Genomic DNA, 12,423 nt, shown 5'->3' with positions numbered 1-12,423 from the left:
TTGTTTGAACATCATAGGGTGTTCTTACACAAACCTAAATGGTATAGCCTACTACACACCTAGGCTACAAACCTCTACAGCAGATTAGGGTAATAAATACTGTAGGCAATTATGACAAGATGGTATTTGTACATCTAAACATGGAAAAGGTATGGTGATAATATGATTTTATAATTGTATAGGACCACCGTTGTACATGCAGTCCATCATTGATCAAAATGTTATGCAACACGTGAATGTAATTTCAATCTTTCCTCATTAATTATTTTTCAGTTTCTCCTTCAGATTTTTAAATGTATAGAATCTTTTTGGTTAACTTTTCAAAAATTGGTTTCTACCTTAATTGCATTGTAATAAAATATGGTTCATATGATTCCAATTACTTGAAATTTCTTGAGACTTGCTTTAGAGCCAATAGTATAAATACTCTATGCATGATTAAAAACAACAGTCATTCTCCAGTTGTTAGCTAACTGTAGCACTTCTCAAAAATTTATAATCAGTTTGTCAATTTCCACCAAAAGAAAATCCCAAGATTATATGAGGTAAGCATTCTACTTTGAAAGTTAGAAAAGGAACAACTAAATTCGCCAAAAGAAAGAAGGTAGGTACCCAAGAGAAATGAAAATATGTCTAAACCAAAGCTTTACATGAATGTTCACAGCAGTATTATTTATAATAGCCAAAAAGTGGATCAACTGATCCAAAAGTCTATCAACCGATGAATGGATAGACAAAATGTGATGTATCCATACCATGAAATATTATGCAGCAATAAAGAAATGTAATACTGAGACATGCCACATGGATAATCCTGGAAAACACGATGCTAAGTGAAAGAAGCCAGTGGCAAAGGACCACATATTATATGATTACACATACGTGAAACAGCCGGAATAGGCAAATCTGTAGAAACAGGAAGTGGATTCATGGTTGCCTCAAGCTGAGGGAAAGGAGTTGGATGTGAGGGAGTGATAGTTAAGGGGTGCCGGGTTTCTTTCTGGGTAAATGAAAATGTACTAAAATTGAGTGGGGTGATGATTAAACTCTGTGACTGTAACAAAAGCCACTGAAGTATGTCACTGGGGTAAATTGTTGGCATGTGACTTATTATCTCAATAAAGCTGTTTTTTGTTTGTTTGTTTGTTTGTTTTTCCTCGGACTCCTGAGTAGCTGGGATTACAGGCGTGTGCCGCCACACCCAGCTAATTTTTGTATTTTTAGTAGAGACGGGGTTTCACCACGTTGGTCAGGCTGGTCTCAAACTCCTGACCTTGTTATCCGCCTACCTCACCTTCCCAAAGTTCTGGGATTACAAGCATGAGCCACCACGCCTGCCAATAAAGCTGTTTTTTAAAAGGAAGATAGAAAGTAATAAACATAAAAGCAAAGGTAATGAAAAAGAAAATCAAGACAATAGAAAGGATCAACAAAGACAAAATTTGGTTCTTTGCAAAGACTAAAAAATAGACAAACCTCTGGCAAAACAAATGACAAAAATACGAGAGAAGACAAAGATTAATGAATTTAGGAATGAAACACAGGATGTAACTATAGATATAGCAGAGAGTCAAAAGTTAATGTGAGAGTATAACTTTTTATGAATAAATATGAAAACTTAGATAAAATGGATAATTTTTTAGATAAAATGGACAATTTTTTAGAAAAATATAATTCATCAAAAGGAACTCAAAAAAGATTACAGACTCAAAGAGACATAGTAATCTCAAAGAAATTGAATCTGTTAGTAAAAATGTGCAGGGATGGTGTGGTATAATAAAAATACATATTTGGTACCTGTCCCCTGGTTTCTGGCACAGAGAGGTCTTCAAACCCTTGGAATTTCCAGAGTGAAAGAAATGTGTTACTCACAGAAAGTCCCTGTGGAACCTATGTAAGTCTATGCTAAGGAGGCGACTCAGGGTAGAGCCTCTAGATAGCCTCAGGATATAGGTTATCTTAATCATCACTGAACACATGATTAGAGGGTGAGACCTTTCAGCCCCACCCCTCCCACCTCCTGGAGGGGAGGGTGGCTGCAAGCCAGGTTATGAAAAGTCTTGAACTCGGAGGTTCAGGGTGCTTCCAGGTAGGTACAACCACAAGCTAGGAGGGTGGTGCTCCCAACTCCACAGGGACAGTAGCTCCTGTGCTCAGAAGCCGTCTGGACTTTGCCCTTGGTATGTACCTTCTGATGCGGCTATTCATTTGTATCTTTTATATTAAGCTAGTAAACATTTAAAGTGTTTTTCTGAGTTTTGTGAGCTATTGTAGCAAATTTTCGAACCTGAGGAGGGAATCTCTGAATTTATAGTCAGCTAGGCAGAAGTGTGGGTATCCTGGTATCACATTTGTGAGTGGCCTCTGAAGTGGTGGCAGTGTTGTGGAACCAAGCCCTTTAACTTGTGGGATGTGCTGCTAACTGTATGTCGACAGTGTCAGCATTTAATTGTCTTTTTGTACTATAGTTATACAGGATGTTATCCTAAGGAGAAATTCCATGAAGTGCATATGGGGCTGCCCCGCTGGTGCTGGAGAATTGGTTGGTGCTGGAAAACACCACATGGTTTGTGTCAGAAGTGAGTGGTATGAGCAAAAAGATACTACACATCATTTAACATTTATGTAATAATGTAGTTTATCGCACGATCATATTAAAGAAGAAAAAAATCAATGAAAAAGAAATATTCAACAAAATTAAACTTAATTTATAACAAAACTCTTAGAAAATAAAAAATGGAAGACAATTTCCTAAATGTGATAAAGGGCTTCATCCCAAATCCCAAAGCAAATATGGTACTTAGAAGGGAAACAATAAATATATTTTTAAAATTCATATTATAGACAAGTTTATTCTAAAATGTATATGAAATGGTACAAGAAATAGATCTTTAAAATTCGTGTTACAGACAAGCTTATTCTAAAATGTATATGAAATGGTACAGATCCTAGAGTAGCTAAAACAACTTTGTAAAAAAAATAAAGTGGAAAGAATCACTCTACTTGATTTTAAGGTTTACTCTATAACAACAGTAATCAAGAAAGGGAATGTGGTATTGGCAGAGGGAGGCACATAGATCAATGGAACAGAATACAGAACTCAGAAATAGATCTGCACAAATATGTCCAGCTGATTTTTTACAAAGGTACAAAAGTGATTCAATGGAAGAAGGATAGTCTTTTCAAGAAATGACATTGGAGCAATTAGATATCCGCAGGTAAAAACATGAAGTTCAATCTAAACCTCACATCTTATGCAAAAAATTAACTCAAAATGAATCACAACTTAAATGGAAAACATGAAACCATAAAACTTAGCAGGGGAAAAAAAGGACCTACGATTAGGCAAAAAGTTTTTAGATTTGCCACCAAAAGCACAACCCATTAAAGGAAAAATTGATAAGCTGGACCTCATCAAGATTTAAAAATTGTGCTCTGCAAAAGAATCTGTGAAGAGGATGAGAAGACAAGCCACATACTGGGAAAAAGTATTTGCCAATAACATATGCAACAAAGGCCTCGTATCTAGAATATATAAAGAATTCTCAAAATTCAACAGAAAAATAAAAACAATCCAATGAGAAAATGAGCAAAAGACATAAACAGATATTTCACTAAAGAGGATATACAGATGGCAAGTAAGCATATAAAAAGATGTTTGGCCGGGCACGGTGGCTCACGCTTGTAATCCCAGCACTTTGGGAGGCTGAAGCAAGTAGATCGTGAGGTCAGGAGTTCAAGACCAGCCTGACCAACATAGTGAAACCCCGTCTCTACTAAAAATACAAAAATTAGTCAAGCGTGGTGGTGCATGCCTGTAATCCCATCTACTCAGGAGGCTGAGACAGGAGAATCACTTGAACCGGGGAGGCGGAGGTTGCAGTGAGCCAAGATCACGCCACTGCACTCCAGCCTGGGCAACAGAGTGAGACTCCATCTCAAAAAAAAAAAAAAAAAAAAAAAAAAAGATGTTCGCTATCATTAGCCATTAGAGAAATGCAAATTAAGGCCATGAGATATCACTACACACCTATTTTAATAGCTAAAATTTAAAAACCAGTAATAATACTCAATGCTGGAAAGCATGAGTAGAAACTAGATCACTCATATACTGTTGATGGGAATGTAAAAATGTGCAGCCAGTCTGCAAAAGAGTGGAGGATGCCTTACAAAATTAAACATGCTTACTATTCGACCAAGCAATTGCACTCTTGGGTATTTATCACAGAGAAATGAAGATTTATGTTTATATAAAAACTGCACATGAATGTTCATCACAGCATTATTCCTAATAGTCAAATGCTATTGGATTAGAAACAATCTAAATGCTCTTCAATAGGTAAATGGTAATAAACTATGGAAGATTTATGCCATGGAATACTACTAAGCAATAATAAGTGAACTCGTGGATACACACAACTTGGGTGACTCTCAAGGGAATTATGCTAAGTGAAACAAAAAGCCTCAAAAGGTTACATACTGTGGTGGTCATACAAATTCTACAGATTGCATAGAATATACACACAGACACACAAACACACACACATGTGCATGCAAACTTGCTGTAATCCAAATAAGGTCAGTGGATTATATCAATGTCAATTTCCTGGTTGTGATATTGTACTATAGTTGTACAGCTATCATTAGAAACTGGATGAAGGGTATATGGGATCTCTCTGTATTATTTCTTATAACTGCACATGCATCTATAATTATCTGGAAATAAGAAAGTTTTAAATATGCATGTTACAACAAGGATGTCCACAATCACAAACTCTTTTCCTGATTAAACTCGAAGTCCTAGCCTGTAGGCTAAACACGAAAAGGAAAGAAGAGGCTGGAGCATTAGAAAGGAATAAGCAAAACATTATCTCTTCAGATTATGACTGTCCACACACACACAAAAAAACTGTATCTACAAATAAATTATCAAGTTGTTTAGAAGATCAGTACGCAAAAAAATCAACTATACACCTATACAAAGAATAGAAAAATTCAAAAATGTAATTTTAAAATATAATTTACACTAATATCAAAAAACAGTTCCTTGATGTATCTAACAAAAGATATATAACGCGGTTATGGAGAAAATCATAGAAATTTATTGAAAGGCATTAAAGACCTAAGAAAGTGATCTGTCTACTAACAGAAAAACACAACAGTGTAAAAATAAATAAATAAATAATTTTTAAAAACCTTCCTATACCAATACATACATTCAATTCTATCTTTATCAAAATCATAATAGAGTTTTTTGTATTAATCAAAAAACCATTCCATTTTGTGGAAGAATACCCAAGACTCCCAAGACTTGCACGAAGGAAAAGAATATTCTGGAGAAACTTGTTCTTCAGACAGCAAAACTCAATTTAAAACTAGAGTAATTATGATGGTTTGATATTGACTCAGGAATAAGTTAATAGACTAATCAAACAGAGAAGAGATCCCAAAGCTACATATATGAAAACTTGTTAAGTGATAAAGTTAACAGTGACAATAGAATAGATTACTCAATAAATTGTGCCGGCCAACTGAATACCTGCAACAAAACTAAAAAAAGAGTGAAAGGGACTCATCTTCTCACCATACGCAAAAACAAATTAATGAAATTCCTAAATGTGAAAATCAAAAATTTAAATTTACAAAGAGAATATCTTTACTATCCCAGATTAGGAATTTCCAAAACAATAAAGGGAAACATTGATATATTTGACTCCATTAAGAATTAAAACTTTTGAATTAATTATTAAAAAACTTTAAAATGTGAACTGATGAGCCACAAACTGGGAGAAGCATTAGCATCCAAACTTATAAAATTAAATAAGAAAACAAAAGTTTTTAAATGTGCAACGGATACAAACAAGCAGTCCTGAGACTGGAAAAACCCTTGGGCCAAATAAAAATATGAAAAGATGCCTAACCTTAGGAATCAAAGAAATGAAAATTGAAACAATGAGATAAAATTTCATACCACATAGTTCCACAAAAATGTGATAATAATGTCAAGTGTTGGTGAAGACCTTGAATAACAGAAATTTTTCACAACATTGATACAAATTTAAGAGCAACTTAGCAATATCTAGTAATGCTAAAATGTTCGTATCTTGAAAACCGCAACGCTGTGTATTTACCCTACAGAAACTCTCACACATACATAAGGAGACATATACAAGAATGTCCTTTGTAACATTGTTTAAAACAGTGAAAAGTTAGAAAGAATTTAAATGTTTATTTATGAGAGACTGAATAAATCATTTAAAAAATTTATTATACAATATATAATATATATTATATGATATATGCATAATATATATTGTTTATGCATGTTAAATTATGTTATTTATATTTATGTGTAGTATTATGCACACAGAAATATGTATACAATAATGTAACGCATTACACTATTATATAATTTATTATATGATATTTAGTATATAATGAAATACCATTCAGCAGTGAAATTAATAAAGTAGACTTACGTATAAGTGACATTTCAAAAAATCACAAACATAATATTGAGAGAAAAAAGGCAAATTTCCAAAGCAAATTGGAAAAAAATTACAGCATGCATTATTTGGGGCTACATACATATGTGGTTGACATATGAATTCACTCATCAGCATAATAAACACGAAATTTTGGCATAGTATTATTTCCAGGATAGAGGAAAACAGAAATGCATACCAACACGGGTACACAGGGATTTCAACTGTGTTTGAAAGGTTTTACATGTTAAGTTGCATAGTTGTTATATTATTTTTATACCTATCTAAAAATATGTCATAATTTAAATAAAGAAAATGAAGGAATAATCAAAGAGATAGTAGGCAAATGCAAATAAAAACAAAGTGGAATTGGTTCTATTAATATCTATGCGGTGTAAATTAAAATCAAAATCACTAAACAGGTATAGAAAAACATTAGATAATGAAGGTAAGATATATAAAGAATGTATAAGAATAAAAAATTCTTACACATGTGTACTTATAATGTGTACTTAAAAAAACAGAAACTAAACATTTTGCCATAATATATTTTATAATCAAGAACTTTAGGTTCACTGATAATTTACCAATTTGTTCTCCTAACCACCCTATCTAAACTATTGCCACCACCACCTTCATGCCAAGCCAAATATTCTATATTAGTTCATTTACTTTATAACATTTATCACCATTTTTAACTGTCTTGTTTATTTAGGTGTTTACTTGTTTACTATGCTTTTTTCATTAGTATGTAAGTTCCTTGAAGGCAGTGATTTCACCTGTCTGGTCCACCAGTGTATCCCTAGTACCCAAAATAATGCCCAACACATAGTTACCCTCAAGTAAACTTTTATTGAATTAATTAATTAGTGAATACCTTTCATGTGCCACCATTTCAGAAATAGCCGGATTTTTAAAAATGAAATCTCTTAGAGTTTCCTTTTTTTTACTTCTTATTCTTTGTTGCATTTCTGCACTCTTAATAGAGGAGATAAAATGTTACAAGTTAAATTTAAACTTTGAACACAGTAGTATAATTTATTCATACTCTAATGCTTATCTCTTGACATTGAAATACAGTAGTTTATATCCTCAATTAAAATTACTATCAAAGGCAGCAGAAGTACCCCTGTAGACAAAAAAAATCTGATTATAACAATATCTACATGTTAATCTAAAAGTTGTATTGTGTAATTATAAAATTATGCTTGTTAGTATATCCTTCTGTTTCATATTATAATGAGTTTAAATGTAGCCAATCATCTCTAGATACATGAATCTCTTAATTTCATTACCTAAAATTCAAAACTCATAGGAAACTTACTCTTCCAATTTCCATTACTGCAGCTTTGAACTTTAAAGATTTGTTTGCTTTTTTATTCAAAGCACTATCCTTATATTTCACTTTTATTAGTCCAAGTAGAGACTCATTTCTCCTAATAAAAAAGATAAAGTCAGTCAAAAAGACCTGCAAAAATTTGCAGAACTACCCCAAAGTAATATGTCTTTAAAGTTTTCACTGAAAGTATACAAGAATATCTAAAACTGCTTGTGTCCTATGCATCAATTTGACTGTGATATCTCTGTTCAGCATGAAATAGCTGGTCTCTCAAAAGAGCAAAGTGTAAATCATATCATAAAATGTGAGTATCAATGAAGATGTTGAATAATAGAAACTTTTCACAACATTGATAAAAGTTTAAGAGCAACTGAGCAATATCCACTAATGTTAAAATGTTCATATCTTGGAAACTACAGCCCTGTATATTTACAGAAACTCTCACACATGCATAAGGACACATGTATAAGAATGTTCTTTGCAGCACTGTTTATAATAATAAAAAATTAGGAAGATTTAAATGCCTATTTACAGGAGACTGAATAAATAAGTTTTAAAATATATTATACAATGTATAGGCCAGGCGTGGTGGCTCACGTCTGTAATCCCAGCACTTTGGGAGGCTGAGGCGGGTGGATCACGAGGTCAGGAGATAGAGACCATCCTGGCTAACAGGGTGAAACCCTGTCTCTACTAAAAATACAAAAAAAAAAAAAATTAGTTGGGCGTGGTGGCAGGCGCCTACTGTAGTCCAGCTACTTGGGAGGCTGAGGCAGGAAAATGGTGTGAACTCGGGAGGTGGAGCTTGCAGTGAGCCAAGATCGCGCCACTGCACTCCAGCCTGGGCGACAGACCGAGACTCTGTCTCAAAAAAAATAATAATAAAATGTATTATACAGTGTATAATAGAGAATATGTTGTATATTATAATCGTATAATAAAAGCTCCCATAGGGCTTTCTATAGGGAAAAAGAGGAGTTGAAGGCATGATGTACATGGAACAGAACTGGATTGAAAATAAAGTAACGATGGACACTTCTTCCCTTATAACTCAGAGAATACTGTAAAAGTAACCCTAGACAAGCTTCCTTGCTTCCAACAGATTTCAATCTCTTTGGTTCCATCTTTTGCAAGCTCCCAGCCACTGCTGCCCTCTGAATACCAACAGGAACTGAGCGGACCTTTTACCAATACTATCATCTCTCACTGTCCCTTTATTGACACTTGCCTATTTTTCCTGAAATTTCTATTTTTTTTTTTTGAATTTATATTTCTTCGTAAGTACTAGCCAGGTACAGCAAAACTGCTTAATATGATAAATGGGATCCCAAAACTTGAATAAAATGTAGGGTCTTATTAATGCAAGGCTAATGACAAGACGGGGTAAGCCTGGATAGCTAGTTCCAGGGGTTGGAACTTGACCCAAATCCATCTTGGTCCCTTCGCTCCAGTTTTGATGAAGATAATCCTAATCCCATGGTTGTCTGGAACCCCGGTTCAGCTGTAACAATCCTAAGAATCACCCAGTTAGTTGACATTCGTTTGGGCAAATGTTTTGCTGCCTAAATTAGAAGCCTTTGATCAATGACCATAAGGGACTTGGGGAGCCATCCTCCACAACTTGCAGCCTAAGACTGCCTTCCATTTCCAACCAGCTACGTCTCTTCTCTACAGCCTCTCCTCTCTCTCTCCCTCACTACCAGGGTGCTTGACCTGGTGGTTATGTTCTTCCAGAAAGAGATGGGAAGGAGAGGAGGTCACATTTAGACTACAGTCTTTGCCACCATCTCAGCATTCTCCTCCACGCACAGCAGAACCTTCATCCATTGAATAAATTAAACTCCTCCACTCCTTGATCTGTTCACTGCTCTGTGGAGCTCTGACTGACTGCTTTTCATTTTGATAAATAGTATTTTAAAATTTTTATTCAAGTCAGCGTTACTGAGGAGTTGTTCATTGTTTTAACTATTTATACAGCCATGTGTCACTTAGCGGTAGGGATACATTCTGAGAAATACTTTGTTAGGGAATTTTGTCATTGTGTGAACATCATAGAGTGTACTTATGCAAACCTAGCTGGTACCACCTGCTACACATCTTCGTGATATAGTACAGCCTATTGCTCCTAGACTACAAACCCATACAGCATGTTACTATACTGAACGCTGTAGGCGATGTTGTAACATAATAGTCAGTATTTATGTATCTAAACATATCCAAACATGGAAAAAGTACAGTATAAATACAGTATTATAATCTTATACTCCTCTTCCAGAATATCTCTTATTCTTAAGTTAGACTTCCACAGCCAGCCCTCCACATTTGCCTGTACACTGAAAGTATCTTCTGTTTTTCTTTGGAATCAAGAACATTATTTAACCCCCCTAAATATCTAATTTTAGCTATTTTTTAAAAAATTTAATAGAACTCTAATTCTGAACAATTCTGTTATTATCACGGCCTGTTTCATTTAATATAAGCAATTTCTTCTTTTATCTTTTGAAAATATGAAGCATATATATACTCTAAGCTTCTGTTCTAATAAATGAAGTACCTATTTTAGGAAGAAATCTTTCTATATGTTTTTAAGGGAATGCTTCTCTTTTGCTGCCATTTCAAAAACAGGTTTCATGTTACTGTTTACTTTTATTAAAATGGGATGGACAGATCAATGCCCAGTGAAGAAAAGCCCACTCTCAGTTGATAAAAGAAAAGTTGGATTCATTTGGCATGTCTCATAATTGGTGTGAAGCACTATCATTTTATTTGGGAGCAAAGAGAATCATTCAGGCTTAGAGAATAAGAGGGGCAGCTTTAAGGTTTACTGCTTTTATTTGAGGAACTCCCTCTTCACATATACAAATGGAAACTTCAAGAAATGGCTCTATTTGTTACCATAGAAGAATTACAAACACGTGGTAAATGACCAAAACTGGAGCCAAAACCTTGTGTGAGAAAGAACTGATGGCCTAGAGATACTATTATCCATCCTGACTCAATAGCAAAAGACTTAATCTGTTTCCAGCTAGAGACCTGAACATGCTCTATTCTCATTTGTGAGTACATTGTATATATATTTTTATTTTTAGTTATTTATTTACACAGACATGAATTTTCACTATCTCTTAGGCAGTGGTTTTAACTGTATATACTCCACTCTCTTTTTCGTCTACCTTATATTTCTTAAAACTGACAATGATATTCATTTTTTAAAGTTGTTAACATGTATAACACTGATAATTGCAAGTACCTTTTCAAGAAGTCATGGACAGGAGTTGTTACCTCTACCATAAGATGAAATTTTTCCTCATTCATGCATTTTAGCATAACTTGTGTAAAGAATTCCAGAAATCTTGGTTTTTGCTTAAATTTCATAACTGTAATAACAAGGAAGTTCATATATAGTTAACAATATACTCAATTATTAGTACCAAAGGGTTGCCAGTGCTAGCAGTCATTTTGTTCCAACAGGCAAGTTTATTAATCTGCTTTTTAGATTTCTCCATTTTAAAAAGTATATAGGAATAAATGTGGTGTGAACTATTGTTTTTCTAATATCAATGAATCCTTTACAGTCTATATTAAATTTATTTTCTAAATATCTCAGCATTGAGAAAGATTTCATTAAGGTCACTTCTAATGTATGACTAACTGGGGGAAAAATTGTTGATAATTATCATAACTAGTAATCCTAATTTTTATTATATTTCACTCTGAATTAATCAATTATGTTGCCATTTCTCATTAGCTAAACTTGAAATTCACTAATACATTTTTCTTTTTTCTTTTTTTTTTTTGTTTTTTGAGACAGAGTCTCACTCTGTCGCCCAGGCTGGAGTGTAGTGGCACGATCTCAGCTCACTACAACCTCTGCCTCCCAGATTCAAGTGATTCTCCTGCCTCAGCCTCCTGAGAAGCTGGGATTACGGGCACCCACCACCCAACACGTGGATAATTTTTGTATTTTTAGTAGAGACGGGGCTTCACCATGTTGCCCAGGCTGGTCTCAAACTCCTGACCTCAGGTGATCTGCCTGCCTTGGCCTCCCAAAGTGCTGAGATTACAGGCGTGAGCTTCTGCGCCCAGCCACTAATATGTTTTTCAATGCCTTAGTTTTTGTAAGCTTCATAATAACACCATTCACTACCAAAATAAGCCACCATCAAGATTCTGTCTTTCCAGACTTTAAATCAGGTACCTCTTTAGGTCTCTTTCATTACTTGGCAATCAGGATTCTGCATTATTCTGAGTGGGTAAGAATTCAAAATATTCTGCCTGAAACAGGTGAAATCTTCAAGCAGACAACAGAAACAAAATCCACAGAATTAATTCTCTTCAGTGATAAATCGAGTGAACAGCATATACACATCCAGTTCACCTACCTTCTTTCACGGCACCTTTGACCGACCAATTCAAAACTACAGGATAAAGAAATATAGGGTCCTCTCCTCCTGAGAGTTCAGATGTAACATCTAAGGTTAAAAAATTCAAAAGTTGTATGTTCTGTTTAGTAACGCAAAATACAAATTTTTTGAGTAATTCACAATAACAATTCTTTAAAAGAGATGACAAAACAGGAAAATACTATTTATTCTAAAT

At 34.3% G+C, this 12,423-nt stretch overlaps 1 protein-coding gene across 2 annotated transcripts in view; it reads right to left on the bottom strand.

The window, feature by feature from the left end:
- CFAP54 (cilia and flagella associated protein 54) overlaps positions 1 to 12,423 on the bottom strand; it is a 385,979-nt gene that overhangs the window by 237,542 nt on the left and 136,014 nt on the right. For both annotated transcript variants that reach the window (NM_001367885.1, NM_001306084.2), the window contains exons 29-32: positions 12,207 to 12,296; positions 11,075 to 11,201; positions 7,810 to 7,921; positions 7,363 to 7,463 (exon numbers count right to left, since the gene is read on the bottom strand). In NM_001367885.1, coding sequence (NP_001354814.1) covers positions 7,363 to 7,463; positions 7,810 to 7,921; positions 11,075 to 11,201; positions 12,207 to 12,296 — 430 coding nt within the window. The remainder of the gene's footprint in view (positions 1 to 7,362; positions 7,464 to 7,809; positions 7,922 to 11,074; positions 11,202 to 12,206; positions 12,297 to 12,423) is intronic.

Source organism: Homo sapiens, chromosome 12 (assembly GCF_000001405.40).
Source record: "Homo sapiens chromosome 12, GRCh38.p14 Primary Assembly".
Lineage (NCBI taxonomy): Eukaryota > Metazoa > Chordata > Mammalia > Primates > Hominidae > Homo > Homo sapiens.
Note: the sequence above shows the minus strand (reverse complement) of the source record. Positions and strands in the feature narration are given on the sequence as shown.